This window comes from Homo sapiens, chromosome 15 (genome assembly GCF_000001405.40).
Source record: "Homo sapiens chromosome 15, GRCh38.p14 Primary Assembly".
In the NCBI taxonomy this organism is placed as follows: domain Eukaryota; kingdom Metazoa; phylum Chordata; class Mammalia; order Primates; family Hominidae; genus Homo; species Homo sapiens.
In genome coordinates, this window is record NC_000015.10 from 86392341 (window position 1) to 86416369 (window position 24029).

The 24029-nt window shown below is 37.6% G+C and overlaps 1 protein-coding gene across 7 annotated transcripts in view; it reads left to right on the plus strand.

The window, feature by feature from the left end:
* Nucleotides 1-24029, plus strand: part of AGBL1 (AGBL carboxypeptidase 1) — a 951857-nt gene that overhangs the window by 312721 nt on the left and 615107 nt on the right. For 5 of the 7 annotated variants that reach the window (XM_011521227.4, NM_152336.4, XM_017021919.3 and 2 more), the window contains one exon: nt 5026-5206. In XM_011521227.4, the coding sequence (XP_011519529.1) occupies nt 5026-5206 (181 nt within the window). Of the gene's footprint in view, nt 1-5025; nt 5207-14889; nt 14938-15020; nt 15143-24029 lie in introns of those variants that run through there. The other 2 variants (XM_017021920.3, XR_007064423.1) reach the window with 2 other exon arrangements.

Sequence of the window (24029 nt, forward strand, 5' to 3'; positions counted from 1 at the left end):
TAAGTCATTTACAGTTGTTTGCGTTAGTATAAATGATGTCACAATGAATACTCCACTGTGTTTGAAAATATCCTGATGAATGTCCCTGATGGCATTGGATTGTAATTATCTGTGTGCCTTTCTTTCCTACCAGACTGTTATTAGTTTCCTGAGAGCAAAAAACCATTATTTATCTTGTAATCTACAGAACCCTGCAGAGTGCCAGTAGAAGCTTAATATATATTGTTGAAAGAAAGAAGGAATAAATGAATGGATGTTTATATAGTTGGGTACACATGTTTATCATCACACATGTCTTCAGTTTTTACTCAACTTTTCATTGGCCTAAAGGCCTGATATCTCTTAGGCATTATTCAATCCCCTACTTGTTCCTAATCTCTTTTTACAGATGTCATTACCACTATAAATTCAATATATAGCTTTAAGAATAAAAATCTGTCCAAACCATGACTCCCCCGTAGACTATGGTGGTCACTGAAACATATTTTATTAATTGCAGAAAAAAATAAATGCAAATATCTGGCACTTTTTGCCTGACCCTAAGCAGACACGAGTTACTAAGACTGAGATTGTCAATTGCAAGAAAAAACCACATGGTATGTGTGGTGCATACTATTTACAGCTGTTGTCCATTATGAGTTCTCTGGAGTACCATTTGCTGCTACAATTGAATGGTCTTGTAAGTTTAACTTACCAACATGACTGCAAAATTGTCTTAAATCACAGAGGGGAAGAGAGGAAAGCCAACTAGAACTGGCTAAAATACTGCTTATGTCTTCATGAGAATCCATCGTTGTCCCCATTTGCTTCTTCAGGATACTAGAACAGCCTGCAAGGTCTTGTGGTGTATTACAATACAGCAGATTATCAACTTGACTCTCCAATGGAAAGAGACACATTGTTGATGTCTCTCTGTTAGAGCTTGCATTTGGCTTATTGATTAATGTACTGCGTTGTACTAGGTATATCAGGCAATGGAAGCCAACTGGCCCAGACAATGGAAGTGTTTTGTTAGTGTCAAAAATTTACAAGAGCTTAAGCCATTTTTTATTTCTTCTTGCTGGGCTGAAAGCACTTACTATTGTTGTCCAATATGCTGCAAATGAACATAGTTCAAAAATCACAAAGAGAGTGATGTGGAATTATAGAACCGAAAATAGGATACTGGTTGGGTACAAATTCATCAAGCCTCTTTATTTCGAAACAAGCTTTTTATTGGCGTGCCAACACAGCTTGCTTTGGAAAAAGCGAAACCAACTGTGAGCAAATGATATAGTAGGAAAGTTGACCTCCCGTTAATTTCAGTTGTGCCTAGCTAGCTAACTGTACATCTCCTTCTTTCCAACATTTTTTTTTAGAAAGTTTCAGTTAGTGAGTCATTAGTCCTATGGTGCAGAACACCTAATCTGCTATGGACTGAATATGTATGTCCTCCCAAAATTATATGTTGAAATCCTAATTCCCAAAGTGATGGTGTCAGAAGGTGGAACCTTTGGAAGTTGATTAGGTCATGAGGGTAGTGCCCTCATAAATGGGATTAGTACTTTAAGAAAAGAGGCTTGCGGGAACTCAGTTGTCCCTTCCACATGTGAAGACACAGTAAAAAGAAAGTCATCTAAGAAACAGAAGGCGGGGCCTCACCAGGCACAGAATTTGCTGGCACCGTAATCATAGATTTCTTGGTCTCCAGAACTGTAAAAAAGAAATTTCAGTTGTTTATAAGCCACACAGTCTATGGTATTCTGCTATGGAAGCCCAGAAAAAGTAAGACAAATCCATTGCCCAGTTTTTTCAGAAACTTACATAACTCATCTCATGTTAAAAATGGTGAGGCTGGAATTTGAACCCTGGAAATACGGCTCCTAAAGTTGTTCTCTAATTCACTATGCTGTACTGTCCCTGATTGGGTAAACATGTCATCTATAATAATTTCAGAATTCGTTTTATAAAGCACAGCCTTTGGCATATATTTCTTCTGATGAAAATGCATCATCTCCCTTTTTCTTAAGATAGCGGTTCTCAATTGTTCTTTTCTAAAACACACATGTCAAATATCATTCTCCCTACAACTATTTCACTCTTTTCTCCACAATCTAGAAAGCACACACGAATGCATGTCATTCAAGGTAATATTATTATAAGGATGACTTTAAACCTGATCTTACATTGAGTTTAACAGGGTGTAGCAAAAACATGAGTACAGTGGCCTAACCAAATAGTGGTTTACTGTTCTCAAACATCCAGAAGTAACGAAGAAGCTGGTGAAAATGTGGTATAGCTGCTTAAGGAATTTGCCAAGAACCCTGGCTCCCTCTACTTTTATAGTCACCATCTTTAGCATGTGACTTTGATTCTCAAGTTGGCTTTCTCATCTGAAGGTATCACATCTATGTGCAAAACTGGAGGAAGAAGAAGGGCGAAGGACAAGACACAAAAACCAAGTAGGCATTTACCAGATGAAACTGTCCCCTTTAATTAGTTTTCCAGAAGGACTCACACTCTAGTAACACTTAAATGTCACTGGACACAACTGTGTCACATGGCCACTCCTACCTACAAAAGGATCCATGAAGCTAGTATTTTAATATGGACAAATTCCTTCCCCTTCAAAAATCAGGGTCCTGGTAATAAGAAAGAAAGGGAGAAAGGCTACTGGGCAGGTGACCGGCAGTTTGTGCCATGTATGTAATATCATAAGCACTTGCACTTTTATTGGTAACTGATGACTCTGCAATATACTCTGTTACTTATCACAGGATATCAGTGAGACACTGACTCTATGGTTGAGAATGTCTGATCTACAGGATGAAGTCCAAATCCCTAAACAAAATATATAAGAAAGGATCTTACCAGTTTAATATTAGCCTACTTTTTAAAATTTATGTTCCATCATCTCTAGCCCTTTGCTTGAGCCACACATAACTTGTCTTCATTTTTTAATTCATCGACTTTTGCGCCACTGGTTTTGGCATATGTCCCTTTCTTTGTTCAGAAGACCCTCCTCACCGTCTCCATCTGGTAAATAATACTTATTTTGCAAGCTCCAATGTGAATACCATCACATCTTTGGAAATGGCCTTACCTCTCTCAGTCATATCTATTTTGGTGTTTTGTATACACCTCCATTAGCTCACTTGTAATTATTTTCTTTCATATTTGTCACTACTGACAAATGCTATGGCCTCTTAGAGAACAAGGACTATAATTTATTCAACTTTTTCTACCCAGTGCTCCTGCAGTTCTTGGAATATGCTCAAGACACCTGCTTAAGGGAAAATATAGCTGAGTGTTACCTCCAGTGTATAGGTGACCTACAAGGAGCTGAAGTAACCTGTTTTCACCGTAGTCAGTAAAAATGCACTGATCTACACCCCTTAAATCTAGACCTCAGTGGATTAATGGCTGTCAGCAGAAATACGGAAGAGACAGATAGTCTTTAGGTTTTATTTTTTTTTTGGTCTTAGTGATGATAATAACATAATTCAGTAATTTTAAAGTGTTTTCTTTATATCTTCCATTGCCTATTCTTTAGCTCTGTTATCAAAAGATATTCAATTTTTTCTTTCTTTGTGCACAATTTGAAACACAGTTTGTATCTTCAAAAAGGCTACGGCTTTTTAGATTCTGTATGAGTAAGATCGTATCATGTTTGTCTTTCCGTGTGTGTCTTATTTCACTTAACACAATGTCCTCCAGACTCATCCATGTTGCTGAAAATGACAGAATTCCATTTTTTTATGGTTGAATAGTATTCTATTGTATCTATGTGTGTGTGTATATATAAAATCATATATTCATATATATGTGTATATATATATATATAAAATCATATATTCATATATATGTGTATATATATAAAATCATATACGTGTGTGTGTATATATATGTGTGTGTGTGTGTGTGTATATATATATATATATATACACACACACGTCAGTAAATGAATCAAAACACATTTTCCACCTGAGCCCAGACATGGCTTTAAAATGCATTTCAGCACTATGATACTCCAGCTATCTTCTATAAACAAAGGAGGGAAGACATTCCTATCTTTCCCTCATCAGCACATTCTCCATAAAGACTGTTCATGTCAATACACTACCTGTAACTGGGCAGAGAGTGTTTTCCTGACTCCCTTTGCAAAGTGAAGCAAGCATTGTAACTCCAAGATTGAGCTTCCAGATATTTAACTCTTTTGTCAAATCTCTCTCAAGGACTGGGTTCAGGGTCTTACAGTCATGGAATTCCAAAGATACTGCTTCTGTTACTTGCCTTCTATTTCTGCTAAGGAATGAGAGGGACCATCCCACCCACAGACTTTACGAATGAGGAGGGAAAGAGCTAACACATACTGAATGGCAGGCAATATAGTGAGTGCTTTATATTTACTTCTTTTTGTTTTTTATAACAACCACATAAAGTCAGTATTATTGTCCCCATTTTATAGATAGGAGATAGTGTGAAAGAAATTAATTCATTTGCCTGAGATCCCAGAGGTAGTGAGAGATGAAGATAATCAATCTCAGATTTGTGACATCTAGCATCATGCTATTGAACTCTGGAGAATTAGTTATTTCTTTTGTGATCTTGATAAAATCTGCTTCTTGGGTTCTTTTCATACCATCAAATAGTTACATTTTTGATGACAGCCTTGAGCTGTACCTTCATACTTTCTTGAGTCTTGCAGACCACAGAGGAAGATAGAAAATGGGTAAATGTAGATCAGATATGTGTTAGGAGCAATCCATCTATTTAAAACCTCATGCCAATCATGTGAAAATCAGTTTGTATCTTCAAAAAGGCTACGGTTTTTTAGATTCTGTATGAGTAAGATCGTATCCCATGAGAAAAAGAGAATACAAGATAAACTGAAAACATTGAAGGAAACAAAATTCAAAACCTACAATGGAAAATGTATTTTTAATAAAAATTAGTATCAAAGAAGCAAAAAAGAAGTTTAGAAAACTATAAAATAGAGCAATATTAAAATTTGGGTTTAATTTTCTTATGTCCCTTTTTCTGCAGGACATCGTCCATATCAGGTGATCACTGCTCGAGTTCATCCAGGAGAGAGCAATGCCAGTTGGGTGATGAAGGGTACCTTGGAGTTCCTGGTCAGCAGTGACCCTGTGGCTAGGCTCTTGAGGGAAAACTTCATCTTCAAGATCATACCCATGCTCAACCCAGATGGTGTCATCAACGGCAAGTATGTCAGGCACCTGGCTCAGCCAAACCCACAATTATGCTACCACAGTGACACTGTCATTTCACCAAGTAGGCGTGATTGGAGAGGCCTCGGTACTCTGTCGAGAATAAACTCTTGGTTTTCTGTTTTCTGCTACAAATAACAACATACTTTCCATACACACTGATGTCAGTCTCATGGTTTCTTTGAATAGAAAGGTATAGAATTGACGCCTAGGCAGGAGGATCACTTGAGACTTGGACCAGTCTGGGCAACACAGTGAGACCCCACCTCTACAAAACAAATTAATTAAAAAATAGGAAGCTATAGAATCACAGGCAATTAATAGCAGAGGAAGAATCTAGTTTAACATTTTTCTTTTAAAAAGGAGGAAACTGGTGTCCAGGGTAATCAAATGACTTGTCCAAATCACATGGTGGGTTAATGATAAAGTCAGGGCCCAAACTGTGATTTCTTCAGAGTAAGACCAATGCTTTTATTTACTTATTAATATTTACTACAGGGAAATCTTTATTCTCAATTAGCTCTGATAGGACACAGCTATAAGAATGGTGTCCCTCTAGCTAAATAAAATGTCAGCTGAAAAACAGAAGTTGAGGTTGTTCTTCTCTTTACCTAGCCCTTACAGAACTCTTCGAAATATATGATGGGAAAGATGGCTCCTGTGCCTGGTGAGCTCTGTTGAAATGGACCACATTCTCAGAGTTTGTGAGCTGAGGCCCAGACATCAGATGAGGCACCCAAAGTCACACAGGTGGTGCATGAGGGTGACAGGATTAACATCCACAAAGAGGTCTTTCAAACTTTGTGGGCAAAGGATAAAGCCGCCCCTTGCCATGGTAATAGATGAATAGGAATGGACATTCTATCCCATGAGAAAAAGAGAATACAAGATAAACTGAAAACATTGAAGGAAAAAAAATTCAAAACCTACAATGGAAAATGTATTTTTAATAAAAATTAGTATCAAAGAAGCAAAAAAGAAGTTTAGAAAACTATAAAATAGAGCAATATTAAAATTGTTAAATGAAAGAGACAAAATGAGAATTATAAAGAAATGCTAAAAGCACAAAAACTTCAAAGAAATAAAATGAAAATGACTTAAAATAAATAAGAATGATGTAAGAAAGATGAAATAATTCAATTTTTAAGAAACAATTTAAGTGTTAAACAGCCAAGAATAGACTAGTTTCAAAAGATAAGCACCGAAGATAGATAAGTTGAAAAGGTTAAAAGTATGAAGATGATAAATTACAAAAAGATGAAAAGCATAAATTCCAAATGATGAAATATGTTAAACCAGGTTAAAGGAAAGCAAATAAAAGCTACAGACCATAAAAATAAAATTTCAGTACACACACACACATACAGAAAGGAAAGACACCCATGTACCCATGTGTTCCTTACAGGTGAGCTCCTCCCAGCTTAGCTGTTGCCAGACTTCATTTTATTTACTTTTTTATAGAGATTATTTGAGGGCAGAGAATGTTGGGCAGAGAGCAGGGTTTCTTCTCTTTCTCTGTGGTGACTGATTGGCCTTTAAGCACATGGGAAAACTGGGAGGCCAAGTTCTTCACTAAGAAACTCGATCAGACCTTGGAAAGAAATTAGCCTTCTGAGCTCTCAAGCTGGAAAGGCCCCAAAGCAGTGTTCGCTCCTGGTCAAACAGAACTCAGCCGACTCTTGCTATGTGTTCCTTTAATGGCAGAGAACAGCTCTGGGACATCAGTGAATGGCTCCTCCCTGCTTGAGCAGCCAAAGATTTTACTAGCAAACTTTCTCAGCCTAAATGGATGGAAAACAGTTATGCAAGGCATCTTGAGGGACATGATCCCATTTTGACATTTTCTCATCCAAGTTGGCTCTTTTCTGAAATCTCTCCTTCGCTGGAATTGTCTGAGGTCCAGTAGAGAATGGAAAGAGCCCTGGATCTAGAGTCATATGATTCGTTGGGAATTCTGGCTTTTCTCCTGCCCTAGTCAGTTTTCTCTTCTGTTGGAAGAGGAAGACAACATGCTCCCTGTTGACCATTCTGGAAAAGGTCTCAGAAACCCAAGGCAATATTCAAGCTCAGGGATTAAGTACTGTAGTTTCTTCAATTTTAAATGCTTACACCACCAAACCAGGGGATTTATCCAGATCTTTGGTTTAAAGGTTAATGTGATCTCAGTCACTGAGTATCCTCCTGGCCTGGACACACATTATTTCCAGCTCACAGCTGGTTGCTTTGGATTCCCAAATGGCAGGCCAGCTTCTCCTTAGTGACACTGGCATTTATCATCATTACCATTATTTATTATGATATGACTAAAATTACCTTTTCATTTATATAGCATCTTTCATCATGGAGCTCAAGGCACTTTGTAGATCACTTGGATTACCCAAACAATTTTGGCTGAAAGGGACTTGGAAATCATAGTGTTATTCTACTGAAGGAAAAATCTACAGGTCGTAGCACATCATTATGAAAAAACTTGAGACTGCCTGAATGGATAATGCCTCATCATAAAAGAGCTTAAAAGTCTCAGTGCCTGACCCTTCCTTAGAACATACGTAACACATGGTTTATCTAATTTCTGCTTGAACTAGTTCTGTAATTGACATTTTATTTCAGGGCATGCCCACTCTGTTGTGTATCATCAGGTGGATTTGTGTTTTACTGTGTTTTGATCTTTGTCCTGTGAGCTTCACCCATTTTAATCATTCCTCCCTTAGGATATCCCATGGATAAAATCTAATCCCCCTCATCCGTGCCTGAATTTTCCCATGTGAAGTTCTCTCCAACCTTGATGCAGTTCACCTAAATCTTGTGTATATGGTATTTTTTTCGATGTTCTCATCTTCACTGGTTTTCTCTGGGTATATTCTTATTAATAGGCTCCTTTTTGTGACGCTGTGGTCTTTTGTCCTTTGTAATGTATTTTAACAGTTTTGGGGGAACAGGTTTTTTTTTTTTGGCTACGTGGATAAGTTATTTTAGTGGTAATTTCTGGGATTTTGGTGCACCCATCCCCCGAGCAGTGTACATTGTACCCAATGTGTAGTCTTTTATCCCTCACCCCCCAACTCTTCCCCCACAAGTCCCCAAAGTCCAGTATATCATTCTCATGTCTTTGCATCCTCATAGCTTAGCTCCCACTTACAAATGATAACATATGATATTTGATTTTCCATTCCTGAGTTACTTCACTTAGAATAACAGTCTCCAACTCCATCCAAGTTGCTGCAAAGGCCATTATTTCATTCCATTTTATGCCATGCTGATATATATATATATATGTATTTCTATATATCTCACATTTTCTTTATCCACTCATAGGTTGATGGCACTTAGGTTGGTTCCATATCTCTGCAATTGCGAATTGTGCTGCTGTAAACATGTGTGTTCAAGTGACTTTCATATAATGACTTTTCCTTTGGGTAGATCCCCAGTAGTGGGATTACTGGATTGAATGGTAGTTCTACTTTTAGTTCTTTAAGGAATCTCCATACTGTTCTTCATAGTGATTGTACGAGCTTACATTCCCACCAGCAGTGTAAAAGTGGTCTCTTTGCACATCTACGCTAACATCTATTACATTTTGATTTTTTAATTATGACAATTGTTGCAGAAGTAAGGTGGTATCTCATTGTGGTTTTAATTTGCATTTCCTTTATAATTAGTGAAGTTGAGCATTTTTTTCATATGTTTGTTGGCTACTTGTATATCTTTTGAGAACTGTCTATTCGTGTCCTTTGACCAGTTTTTGATGGGATTTTTTTTTCTTGCTAATTTGTTTGAATTCCTTGTAGATTTTAGATATTAGTCCTTCGTTGCATGCATAGTTTGCAAAGATTTTTCTCCCACTCTGTGGGTTGTCTGTTTACTCTGCTGATTATTTCTTTTGCTGTGCAGGAGCTTTTTAGTTTAATTAGGTCTCTTTTTTTGTTGTTGTTGTTGCATTTGCTTTTGGATTCTTAGTCCTGAATTCTTTGCCTAAGCCAATGCCTAGAAGAGTTGTTACAATGTTATCTTCTGGAATTTTTATGGCTTCAGGTCTTAGATTTAAGTCTTTGATCCATCTTGAGTTGATTTTTATATAAGGTGAAAGATGAGGATCTAGTTTCCTTCTTCTACATGTGGCTTGCCAGTTATCCCAGCACCATTTATTGAATAGCATGTCCTTTTCCCACTTTATGTTTTGTATGCTTTGTCAAAGATCACTTGGCTGTTAAGTATTGGCTTTATTTCTGGATATTCTATTTTGTTCCATTGGTCTACATGCCTATTTTTATGCTAGCACCGTGCTGTTTTGGTAACTATAGCCTTGTAGTACAATTGAAGTCGGGTAATGTGATGCCTCCAGATTTGTTCTTTTTGCTTAGTATTGCTTTGGTTATGTGGCCTCTTTTTTTGGTTTCATATGAGTTTTAGGATTGTTTTTTCTAGTTCTTTGAAGAATGATGATGGTATTTTAATGGGAATTACATTGAGTCTGTAGACTGCTTTTGGCAGCATGGTTATTTTCACAATATTGACTCTACCTGTCCATGAGCATGGGATGTGTTTCCATTTGTTTGTGTCACCTGTGATTTTTTTTCAGCAGTGTTTTGTTTTCCTAGTAGAGATATTTTACCTCCTTGGTTAAGTGTATTTCTAGGTTATTTATTTATTTATTTATTTATTTATTTTTACAGCTGTTGCAAAAGTGACTGAGTTCTTGATTTGATTCTCAGCTTAGTTACTGTTAGTGTATAGCAGTGTGTGTACATTGATTTTGTATCCTGAAACTTTACTGAATTCATTGATTAGATGTAGGAGCTCTTTGGATGAGTCTTTAGGGTTTTCTAGGTATATAATCATATCACTGGCAAACAGTGACAGTTTGACTTCCTATTTACAGATTTGGATGCCCTTTATTTCTTGTCTGATTGCTGTGGCTAGGACTTCAAGTACTATGTTGAATAGAAGTGATTAATGTGGGCATTCTTAGTAGGCTTCTTAAAGGTGAAAGAAATGTCCTGTGTGTTGTCTGATCAGTAAAGAGACAATCCTTGCATAAAGATTAGAGAACCAAAACCTGAACTTGGCACTTAGCCTACAAGGCTTTACTTCTCTCTCACCAATAAAAATGGGCCTTATGGAGCTTGCAATAATGAATAAAAGCAGACCCGTTTCCTTTTGTGGTGATGGTGATGGAGCTTCTGAGAGTGCCTGATAGCTTTTGATAAGAGTGTCCAGTGAAATAAAGGCATGATTTCCCAGCAAAATTTAGGGAGTCCTGCCAAGCCAAGGATCTCTTAGCAACACATGTCTGAACAGGGAAAGAAAATACAAAGATGGAAGGTTATGTTAAGTTCAAAAACAAACAAACAAACAAACATTTTGTCATCTTTCTGGCCTGGTAGTTTGTGTTGAATTGGGCTGAGTTCTAAGTAAATCAGGAGGACTGATCCAGCGGTTTCTTGACACTTAAAAATCTTCCCAAGGTGGGGTAAAAATAGAATGGGCAGTCAACAGATTTTCTTAGAGCAGAAGTGATAATTGGTAGCTGGATTAGAGTGGGAAGTGGGGAGAAGACAGGTGATTCCTGAACTGCATTAAAGGTAGACATGATGTATAAATGAGCACGGGGTGAGGGAGAGGATAAGTCAAGCATGATTCCCAATCTTTTTATCTTGGTTGTTGGGTGGTAGTAACAAAATAATTTTTATAAAGTCAACACACAGCCTAACATTTTATTTACAGGAGAACCAGGGCATATTGATTCTTAGAGTATATACAACTCTAAAAACTTGATTATCTTCTTTCAAGGCCATTGTGGAACAGAAGCAAACAGCAATAAAGAGCAAAGACTCCACTATAAGTAAATACACCAAGGTATTAAAACATAATAGTTGAATGCACTAGAGGAAACAAATCAAGCTATAAAAATCAGATACAAAATCTTGACCATTTTAACAATCTGGGACCATTTAAAGTTAGTGCCAGTAGTGTTTACTCCACTGTGGGTTGTGAAGACTTTACAATAAGAGCACTCACAGAATCCATCTAAAAAATTATTCAGCACCTTTTATGGGCCAAGAAAGAAGCTAGTTCCTTTACATATATTGTCTTACTTAATCATCACTATAGCCCAACAAATGTAGGTGTTCTATGCAATTTCTAGATAAGAAAAGTTGAGCACACAGGCGTTCAGTTTTGAGTGCAGTTTAAACAGCTGGTGTTACAGAGCCAGGAACTCAAGTCTATCCCACATTACTTTGCTGTAGATATTTAAGGGAGTTAGAATGTAAGAACCTTAACATGTTCTTGCAGGGCAGATTCTTGTATATTATTTAGTCCCAGTCATTCAAATGATAAGGAAACTGAGACCAAAGAGGTAAGTGAGTTATCCACAATTACATAGCTAGTTCAACATGGAACTGGCATAAGAAATTGTCTAGATATTGAAAACACACACACACACATCCATGCCCAAGGTTATATGACTAGCTTGTGGGAGAGCTAACTTCAAATCCTTTGTTCATTTTGGTCTATCAGGTCTTCCCAACCTTGGATAGAGATATAAATAGAGTCTTAGCCCCATCAGCTGCTTGGTTCTGAAATTCATCTTGCTGACTCAGATCTTCATATCCAGGGTGCCTGGGAGAAGCCATGGCGCAGCCTTGCCCAGATTTCTGCTATTCTTGCCCGGGATGAATGATTTGGTTCATCCTCACTTCCTAGCTGGGCTTGATCCTGGACACTCTACCTTGACTTTCCAGCTTTCTCTACTAGAGAATGCTGTGTCCTTCCCTGTCACTGCCAGCTTTTGGCTGCAAACACCTCAGCTGACTGTGAATATTTATTGTCATGGGACTTCTGTTCTATGGCTCACTTTCACTCAACTCGCCAGGATCACCAGGAGCTTAGACTGTCTCCTCTGGGCTGGGCCAGGCCTTTTCCTTCCCATTTTGAACTCAGCTCTACTTTTGAATGTATTTAAAGTCCTTTGGTATAATGACATGCAGCAGTGGCTCTCAGACTTTTGGATTTCACAGATCTGTTGAATTTAAATAAACAGAGGACTGATTAGTAAGTATGTCATTTTTCATTTGAACAAGTAAGAATGGAAGATACTCTCTGAGATCCCAAACAATTGACTGGGGAAAGTTTCAGTCTCATTTGTTTCTTGAGCTGCTGCCTTTTCTACATGGGATTATGCAGATAATCTGGGAGATGTGATGCTGGGCCTGTAGATCACGGCAATGAGCATACTTGCCATGTTCACTATAAGCCATGCTGCTGGTACCCATGAAGGCTTCTTTGTGGACAGGAAGAAGTGTGTAGTCAATAAGTGTGTTAGTTATTCCCACTGTTAATCATCCTTTTCCAGGAACAGGGAAAATTCTGGAAGAGGAAAATGTACCTGAAAAATGGGCCCTTAAGGGAAAGAGGCAATGCTCTTGAGCTTTAAATTGGGAATACTCAGGTCTAACCAGGGGGTCCCCGTAGGTCATAGAGGAATGATGGCCTCTGCCATATGGGGGAGGCCAGAGGAGACAAGTGGCCTCTTGAGAATGAGAACAGCTATACTAATAATCAGTTTTAATTTTTTTGAGTAGTTATCTTTTGCTATATAATTGACTATCTAAGTGTTAATCAGTCTTCTAGTCTTGTTTCAGCTATGCTACTGGGCTTTAAAGAAAGTGCCTATGCCTGGCCGGGCGCGGTGGCTCATGCCTGTAATCCCAGCACTTTGGGAGGCCGAGGCAGGCAGATCACGAGGTCAGGAGATTGAGACCATCCTGGCTAACACAGTGAAACCCCGTCTCTATTAAAAAATACCAAAAAAAAATTAGCCAGCTGTGGTGGTGGGTACCTGTAGTCCCAGCTACTTGGGAGGGTGAGACAGGAGAATGGCATGAACCTGGGAGGCGGAGCTTGCAAGTGAGCCAAGATCACACCAGCCTGGGCAACAGAGTGAGACTCTATCTCAAAAAAACAAAAAAGCAAAAAAACAACAACAAAAAAGAAAGTGCCTATGCCTAAGATTGGTTAAGGGGAAAAGTGGCTCTCATACGTAACGAAATTCCTAAGGGAACAGTGGAAATAGTACAATGGCTAATACATTTTAAGAGATGTACTCAGTAAAATGAGAACATTTAAGAAAATAAAATAGATTTGTTTTCTAATTATAAAAATGATACATGATACAGCCAAGATAATAGGTGTTTCAAAAATAAGACTTAATATAAGGAATTAGTACAAATCTAATACAAGGTTCGCGCAAGTGGTAGAAGTCTAAGTTCAAAAGGAGATGCTAAAAAAAAAAAAGATTAAGAACTGTAGAGGCAGCTACCACCTGTAATAATGGAGGAAGCAAATGCCAGAGGAGGAGTTACCAGAACCTAGCAGGTTGAGGGGCTCCATGAGGCTGGTGTTTGGAACTCTGTGAAGGGAGACTGATCTGGCTAGGGCTTCAGTGCACAGCAGGCACAGCCTAGAGGGTGAAGGAGTCTAGAGTGGCCTGTATCCAAATAGTAAAGGAACCATTTGGTTCTTCCTGCTGCTGATGCCTTTGATGGAGTGCAGCAATGCTGGTACTATGGGAGCTGAAGGAGTAGGGATTGACATATTTGATTGCAGCTGCTCTGGTCTTCTTAACTGGAACTGGGAAACAGAAAGAGTGTGTTTCTTTCTCAACTTGCCTTCCTATCTTTCTCTAGGGCTTCTCATTGGCAGAACCTACTGTCAACTGTCAAGGGCATCTGAGCACTGTAGTCTGCAGAGTTTTAACAACAAGTGAAAATAAGTGCAAAGTATCTATTTACCGAGTGCTCAACATGCCGTAGTATGGTTCTTAGCACCCTGTCTATGTGACTTCATTGTTTTCAAAAAACAAAATGATTTTATTGTTTCCAGTGGGAAAAAATGCACATCATTATTATAAACAATTCAATATGTATAGAGAAAGCTTAAGGAAGAAATTTAAAGGCACCTAAATTCAGGACTATTGCATTGTATAATTCCAAAGGGCATCATTTACATTATAATCTATTATAATTACATAGTGCCTCTGGAATTTTGTAACGTAGAGGCTCTTCCTGAATCAAGCTGCCCAGAGAAAAACATTATTAGCAAGTTGAAGGAGATATTTTAGCCATTTGTCTATAAATTGACAGCTTTAGGTATATCAGCTATATCTTTAAGTATATTTCTATTTTAACTTTCATAAGATAATATATTTTGTAGTATAATTTATAAACTAACCACATCTTCCTATGGCAAAAATACAAATTAAATGATCAGTTTTAAAAATAACCATCTTTCAGTATTGATGGGGCCATAATTAATGTAAACAATTCTTCATTATAAACTGTAGAAAGATGAATATTTTGTTTATTCTTAGCATTTTTTCTGGTTATTTTCTTAAGATAAATTTTTAAAGTAGTCAATTGAGTCAGATGTTATACATATTTTATATTTGATACATATTGTTGCCAGATTACCCTCCTTAGAAAATTCACAGATTATATTCCTTGTACTAATGGATAGAAGTGACTGGTCCTCATATGCTTGTTAACACTACACATTATCAACCTTTTCATTTTCTGTCAATCTGATTGGATAAACATGATTTTATTTTCATTTTTTATATTTATAACTTCTAATTATTACAACTACCTGAAAAAGTAAACTGTTTAATTTCATTTTGCAGACCGAAAAATGAAACTGAGGCAAAAGGAGATTGAGTGACATACTCAAGGTCAGTCCCGTGTCTAATAAGTTTCAGAGTCAGAAATTAAACTCAGGTTCATCTGTTTGCAAAGCTCTTGTTCTTTTCACTAGGGTTATACAGCCCCACTGTGTCAAAGCTTCTAGACAATCATCCTGGTGTCTTTCCTCTTGAGTGTTTCCAGCATAGAACTTGGGAAGTGGTAAGTGCCCAATATATGTCTTGTAAGTCTAGTTCTGAGTGTACCTAATCTTTCTAAAGTCTCTTAAAATGTGGCCCTCCAGGTAAGGTCATTCCAGAACAGAAAGGCTTCTAAAATGTTTTACTATAGGTCAGATAGGAAGGTAAAGTTTGTGTACTACTCATTGAAGGTATGATTTTTGTTGAACTTGTGCGCATAACAATCACTTAGCATTTTTAATTCCCTTTTTCTCCTTTTAGTCATCATTTACTGTCTTGAAAGAATTACTGAAGCCATACTGGGGAGCCTTGTTTTATGTCTGGGCATTCTCCAACAGGCTAAGGTTTAATAAGCATGGGGTCTGTGGATCCTTCCAAGCTGGATTTATGATCGTGGGACTCTTGGATCATGTGGGGGAATGATTCCCTTTCCCATGATTCGCTGGTCCACATTTGGCTTCTGAAATGCACATTCCCTGTATGCCTATGGGTGTGAGTTTTGCAGTGCTCACCCACAAAGCTAGGGCAGAGGACCAGGACTCCTCTGCAGGAGGGAGAAGGAGCGACAGGAAGAAGCAGCGCAGACCAGCAAAGGCAGAGGGCAACTGGCTGTCACATGGTCAGCTCCCAGCAGGCGTTTCTGTCTCTTTCTTTCTTTCCCTGTCTCTATCTCTGTTTCTCAATCTCTCTCTTTCTGTAACTCTTCAAGGCATTGCATCCCCTCTCTGAAAGCTTACATGATCACAAGCTGAAGAACCTGTAGGAGAAAGTTCTCTATGTTCTGTGGCCTCTGGGAAATGAATAATTCTATTGATATTCTCTGTAGAAATGATGCTAATGACAAGATGGGGGAGTAAAATTCCCCTGACTCCCTTGTGAATTCTCATTCCAAGGTTTCAGCTCCAAACTTCTCCTTTCAGGCACAGGCTAGGGCAATTCAAAGCTCCTGCTGTAACATCTCTCTGTGAAATGTTTGCTATCCGAAAATCATAATCTCTTCGCAGTTAAAGCTTAACCTCTACCAGTCATCTGTTCCTTCCACATGGAACTCAACTGCTCTTCCTGGGAGCTGACAAAGGAGCTTAAACTTGCAATCATGTTTAATTCCTGAGTTTCATTCGTCACATTTTAATTTAGATTGCTTTGCTATTTTGTACTGTTTGAAACAGAGCAGAATTATTGGTGGATGGAAATTTTTGCTTCATTTGGTTTTTAGAAAAATTTAAGAATTTTGAGACATGAAGCAGAGGTTGAGTGTTTGGATGAAAATGTCAATCTGGGTTCTGGTTCTACCCTGTTTATCCATCTCTGTGTCAAGATGCTCTAAGGGGAGATGGGCAAAAGGGTTTTTAATCTTCCTTTGCATTACTTTCCTTATATTTAAAAATGGGGAAAATTGTTATTCTGATTCAGAAGGGGTCTGAGGAACTACAATTTTTCCTCACTTTCTCCTGCCCTCACTGGAAAAAAAGTAGGGGTGGAGGTCTCAGCCATTTTGAATGTGAAGATATTCTCCTAGACAAAAAAACAAAAAATGAACATTATAGGAATAGTTTAATCTCACAGCTTTTGTTTACAACTTTATAAAATGAAAGACAGACACATATTTAAATTTTAAAAAATATGCAGAAGTAACTGTTTTCTGCCTTAAATTCCTGCCTGGCAAATGCCTGTCAGTAATTCCCAAATCATGGTCTGTAGAGAATTTGCAGGGCATCCGCAATGCGTCTTCAGACAAGTGGAAGGAGGTGGAGAGACCCATGAAGAACATGGCACTTGGTGCAACCGTCCAAACCTCTGTCCATAAACCACAGACATAGTATGGACTCAGACAGCACTGAGGGCCCTGGTTCTAGAGGGCAACACACTCAATCTTTCTGATGAACTTGTTCGTAGAGATCAAAATGGAAATTATTTGCTCTGGGAACTCTTAAGGTCCTGCTGCTAAGTCATTTGCATAGTGTTAAATGATGCATAGTGCTGGGGCTGGATTCTGGGAGTGTGTTCCCAAGGGCTTCCTCACATACACCCCATTCCCACCATCGCCTGCATACACAGAAGGCGTCAGGAGCTTGAGGACTCCATTTGCCTTCCTCAGACATTGCCATTTTGAATAAATATTACTATTTATTATCCCCAAATTTAGAGTTATTAATTATATCAGCATAAACCTAATTTATGCCATCATAAACAGTGATAATAAATGCTGCCAAATTCTAATACCCAGCTCTTGCCAACTGTGCCTGTAGTTGATGGGTTTCCCCCCCTCACTTCCCAGAAGCATTAAATTAAAAATGATTCAGTGTTGCAGAATCATTGATCAAGTTGGGGCTGAGGCTCCTCAGGAAATGCACTTGTTTTGTTCAATGCTTTGCTCTTTCATTGGCCGGGCAGCTTCTGATGTCTGTCCGCATTCCAATGTTTCTCCTTTCCTTCCTCCCCTCCTCTGATCCTCCTATAGGAGGAAGAAATCCGTGCAGGGATGCAGGGATAGAGGGAGGTAGATGAGCATCTATTATTTCATTCTAAATTTCCCCTTTAGACATCTCTCTTCTTAGCATCCCCACTTCTAACTCTTTATTTCAACATAAACTTAGAAATCTTTATAAAGCAAACCCTTGGGTATAATATAGATAAGTTATTTCTCAATTTCTAAATACATCTATCATGTATTTAGGGATGGATGTGATACATGGCTTCCTAAAATACATGAAAGCCTATAATGGGAAAATAGGAAGCATAGCTCTGAGAACCCCCACCAAAACTGAGGAAGCTTTTTCTTTTGGTAGTTACTCTCAGGGGTGCTCTGATTTTGCAGAGGAAGAGGAAAAGCCTGTCCCTGTGTTATCAGAACTGTAATGCAATCTCACTGCTTTTCTCAAGGAGAAACAGTTTTTACTTTTCCTTCATTCTCCCTGGCTTTTACTTTGTTTTCATCAGTGATGATTGTGGTGGTGATGTAGTATAAAAAAATTCCAACAAGACAGTCAGAAGAAGACCCACTTTAGGTCAAAGTTAGCTTCTTTATAGCTGTGTGGCTTTGGACAATTTACTTAACTTCTCTACTCCTGTTTGCTCCACTTTTTAAGGGAGTAGTAAGCCCTAACCACTGCACCTCACTTGATTAATATCACAATCAAGTACCATAGTACTTCAAAACTATTAAGTACTGAACAAAGGTAATGGTTCCTTTTATTGTGTTCTGATGCCTAAATTTCAGTGGTAGGGCATCTATGTTCTTCTCAATGGTAGGGCCAAACAGTCTTAATAATCTTTTTCCTGCTTTTCATTTTTTAGTTTTGCAAAGAGATCCAGGATAAGCCATGGCAATAGGATAGAAATTCTAAATTTTGCAGAGGAAGAGACAAGGTCAAATGTAGATATATATATATATATATATATATATATATATATAATATACTATTTTATATATAAAATATATAATATATATTATAATATATATTATATAATATTATATATAATATATGTTATATAATATATATAACATATATTATATATATATAGAGAGAGATCTTGTTAAAGTTTTGGTTATCCTTTTGATTTTAAAATTATGGGGCAAGTATAGAACTGAATAGGTTGTACAAAAAATTCAGCAACAGAGAAAGCTTGGAACTGAGTAGTTCAGCTAATGCCTTTTTTCCTCATGCTTACTCATCAAATAGATTTAACTGGCACCTTGGAATGGAGAAAAACCCTGGCTTCTTGCCTTCAGAAGCCAGCCTATCATCAGCCTCCATCAAGGTATCTCCAAGAGCTTTTCAGGGTGTCTGTAATGAGCAGCATCTGTGGTGCATGGAGTCTGTCTTCCCCAGCCGGGGGACTGCCTCCCTGGGGTGGGTACCCAAGCCTCAAGATCACAGAAGCCCAGTTTCCTAGAAAAGTGCACCTATCAGGAACCAGAAGGAATTGCACCTCGAAGGCTGGCATTGGAAAATTGCCCGAGAGCCTTCTGCTCTCTGTTCTGGATCACTCTGCCTGGCAGTCTGGAGTTTCTAAGCAGGAAAGTCAAAGGCAGCATATATACTTTGATAATGCAGATCCACCTCCCCACCGCGATTTACAGGTTGTCTTTTCCTTGGCTATTCATCTCTCTGAGCCACATAGCCCTTTTGAATTATTAGCCTTACTCCTTCATTGCCCACCTTCCTTCTTGCAAACATGCTCCCATACATTTTCACTCCACAGAAAATGCTTTCTTCTCTATTTACAGCTTCTTTCTGCCCCCTACCCTTCCCTCTGGTCCGATAACTAATGGCCAAGGAGATAAATAAGAGACATAACTCTTTTTGGCCATTTTTTTTGTCATTACTCTGCATAATAACAAGGAAACAAATCTTATTACTAAAGTAATTACAATAAATAAAAAATAACTGAGAGTGGAGCTTAAAGAAGGGGACATAGCAGGGTAGTGATTACAGCAGGATTTTAAAATTTTAATTTACTAGTGCCAGTCTCTGTTACTCTGTTCATACCCTGCTTAGGAGATTGTGTCTAATTAGGGATTGGTTGTTATTGGTCTTTGAAAGCACCCACTCCTAGCTGACTTATCCCTAGGTCTTTAAAGGAGACATTTGGCCCAAGGAATCCCTTGAAAAATCTCTTTGTCAGCAGCTCAATGTTGGAAAATAGCAGCATTTAGCATGTTAAGTTTCATCATCATCAAAGCTTGGGAATTGCAAATAATTACTTGGCATTTTTCCCTCTGTAGATAACATTCTCTTAACTAGTCTATACAGACATGCATTCACCCTAACATCCGTGGATCACCAAGTCGAGGACACAGTACACCCTTTTGTAGAATACACTGGTGCTGACCAATCTTAGAGTTAGACCATTTTTCTTTATAGCCAATCTAATTTTATCCAAAAGCAATTTATGTCCTTTGTTTCCACAGAGGAAGTGTGGAATGTTTATTTTTCTTCATTAATCATGACTATTATCCTATTTCTGATAGTCATCTTTCCAAGTCCTTTTGGTATTTGAGTTGCTTCTCTTTCTTTTTGAACCTAAATCTTGTATGTTCAGTGTTTAGTCCTGATACACAGTGTTTTAACTATAATTGTCAGTGTTTGGTTTCCTTAACCTTCTCCAAGTTGCTCTTGAGTGTGGAAGGATGAGGTGCAGCATAGTGGCTTTCCCATGCATCTTAGCATCTTTCTACAACACCATCCCTAAACTTCAAGTGCATTTATTAATTCCTGTGACCATGTGCCCTTCTAAGTTGCTCTAAACAAGTGGTCTTAGTCGTCTACACATTTGAAATATAGGGCAAATACAAAATTTAGACACAGTTACTACAACACTTCTTCCCTAAACCACTGCCATCCCCACCATCTCTACTATCACCACCACCATCAGTGACATTACAAGAAAATGGCAAATATTGAATGAGCATTTAACACATGCTTGACAATGCCAAGTACTTTACATATATTATCTTTTAATTCTCACACAACCCTCTGTGGTAAATATTAATAATATCTTGACTTTACTAATGAAAAAAGTAATATTTTAAGAGCAAAATAAGTGTCCCAGGCCATTCAGAACACAGATAGTATTTGGATAAAAAGAATATTCAATTCAGTTTCTTTCTTTTTTTATTTTGATTCTAGATCCTGCCCACTAACAACTACATTATACATGGAATCAGAAGTTATAGAATTCTGTAATGTTAGAGGTGAAAGACATCTTACATTTCAACAAACCGGCCCCACCCTTTCTTTATAGAAGAGAAAAATAAAAGATGCTCAGTAAGGTAACAGTAGGTTCTTAAATCTCCACAATATTAGAGTTGAATTTGAAGTCCAGGCCTAAAACTTTCCCCACTGAATCTCCATTACATGCAAGGATAACATATTTGCAATCTAGCCAGACATTTATGTAAACTATTATGCATAATATTATGACATTTGGGAATGCAAAGCAAAGATAAGTTATTCATTAAGACAGATAACGCAGGATTGAGTGGTAGTTCTATTTTTAGTTCTTTGTGAAATCTGCATGCTGTCTTCCATAGGGATAATAATTTACATTCCTATCAACAGTCTATAAGTGGTCCCTTTTCTCTGTTTCCTCACCAACATCTGTTATTTTTTAATCTTTTTAATAGTAGCCATTCTGAATGGTATAAGATATTATCTCATGGTGGTTTTAATTTACATTTTTCTGATAATTAGTGGTGTTGGGTATTTTTTAGGTGCTTGTGGGACATTTGTATATCTTCTTTTGAAAAATGTCTATTCATACCCTTTGCCCACTTTTTAATGGGGTTATTTATTTATTTTTTGTTGAGTTGTTTGTGTTCCTTGTAAATTCTGGATATTAGTCCCTTTTCGGATGGATAGTTTGCAAATATTTTTTCCCATTCTGCACGTTGTCTGTCCACTCTGTTGATTATTTCTTTTGCTGTGGAGAAGCTTTCTGGTTTAATTTTCCCATTTACAATTCACAGTAGCAAAGATGTGGAATCAACCTAACTGTCCATCAATGGATGATTGAATAAATAAAATGTGGTATAAGTACACAATGGAATACTATTCAGCCATATAAAAGAATGAAATCATGTTATTTGCTGCAACATTAATGGAACTGGAGGCCATTATCTTAAGTGAAAAAAACTCAGAAATGGAAAGACAAATACTGTATGTTCTCACTTATAAGTGGGAGCTAAATAATGTATACACATGAACATAGAGTATGGAATGAAAGACACTGGAGACTCAAAAGGATAGCGAGGTGAGGAGGAGGTGGGTGATGAGAAATTACTTAATGAGTACACTGTACATTATTCAGGTGATAGGTATACTAGAAACCCAGACTTTATCATTATGCAATATATTCATGTAACCAAATTGCACTTGTACCCCTTAAATTTATATTAAAAAGAGAGAATGCAAAGAGTTCTGTGTAGAGATGGTCAAAACATCACAAATATTTTAGCCTGTCTAATATAGCTTCCCAGAGGTAGTTGGATGTCTAAGTGTGCTTTAAAAGGGGAGGCAGAATACCCCTGGAAGAAGAGTGATAGTATCTCCAGACCAGCATTTTCTTAATGGCTTCTGCAGGACGCTAGCAGATTGGTGCTAATAGATGTTTCACACAAGAGGGTGCTATGGCTTGAAAAGTTCAAACAATTTTGGGTAAACAAATTTTCTTTTAATTGTAGAAATGTTCAGTGCCATTAAAATATTAACATGCATGGAGACTCTCCAAGATGGGAAAAAATATATGCCATTTCCTGAAGTTATTTGAACAGGGTCACATTTGTTGAAGTACACCTAAACTATCTAGAGGAACATTAACGATCACTCAACTTGGGCAATGTTTCCCCAGGCTTTTAACTGAGATGCAGACATAAAATTAAGCCTACTTAGAAGAAGCACATTAGCATCGTGGCTAAGAACACTTAGAATGGAGCTGTATTGCTTGGGTTTGCCATTTACTAGCTGTGTGACCTTGGACAAGAAACTTGTCATAGGTTGGGTTATTTATGATACAGTCTCCAAGATGGAGACTTGCTGTAGGAAATTAGTTGTGTTGAGTTCTTGGGAATAACACCTATGAGAGCGTAAGGGAAGCTGGATTGGGCATAGAGTACAGTTGAATTGTGATGCATTTGCTATTACGAAGGCCTCAGATGATCAGTGGGTACCACTAACTGCTGGGATGCCTCTTTACCCAATGGCCTTTCAGTGTCTGGAATTAAGGCAAGTGGACTGAGCCTTTCCTTTGTACTCCCCACCAATGATCCGTTCTTGAATATGAGCTTCCTGTAGGGAGGGTATACAACCCCAGGGAAAGAAGATCCCTTTGGCTGAGGGCAATTCCTAGGGGAAGTACTCAGTTGTGAGCTTCAGCAGCCAGTAGCAGCTGAGGAATGAATTCCTTGGTCCTAACGGTACTCTGAGGGATACACCACAGTATCTGCTGTGCTTCAGTTTCCTCATCTGTAAAACGGGGATAATAGCAAGTAATGACCTTTTTAATAAGGCCATTATGAGTTAAGTGAGTTACTATATAATATGCCTGATACTTAATAGTGTTCTTATACATGTTAAAGTAAACAACACTTATAAGAACAGTTATTATACTTTAACACCTATAAAATCACTATTAAATAAACTAAATAGTGTATTTAGCATGAAGCCTTATTAAGCTCTTTTGATGGCTTAATCATATTGCTAACTCATTTTTAGTTCATTGTCAAATAAAACATCTAAGATTTTTTAATATTAATTGTCATTAACCTGAATGTTTCCTGGTATGTCACTGTGTAGTTGATCTAAATGGATCAAGTCTTGAACCCATGCTTATCCCAATTTCATCCAATTAGATTCCATTCTTCTGAGACCACTTTGGATCTTTAATCTGTCATCCATTTTGTACACTAAGTTGTGCTCTTATAAATGTTATGATTATTCACATTTATAGTTAAGACAATGAAAACTGGAAAAACAAAGAGAATATATCCTTCATTCCTAGTGTATTAAAAACAAGTGCCTATATGTCATAGTATTTTCACATGACTTTTTTTTCACAGCTTTTTCTTAGCCTTGGACAAAGAGGCTATTACTGCATTTTCTGCTGTGTTCTTTACCTAATAATGTAGATATCACTGTTATAAGAATGGCCCACTCTTTCAGAAGGTACCCCCTCAGACAGTTCATGTATTTCATAAACAAACAAACCAACAAACAAAATTCAGTCCAGGCCAAGATGTAATTTGAGTAGAGATGACTAAATATTGACTCGTTTCTAAGAAGTGGATTGTGATTTTGACATGACCTAAAGGGAACTGTATTCATGGAAAAGATGGCCTATTCCAATATAATGTCAAGAGATTTGATGCTAGCATAGCTGAGATCAATTTTTCTTTTATTTTTGTAAATGCGGTGTTAAATGAAAATGTCCAAAGCTTGGGC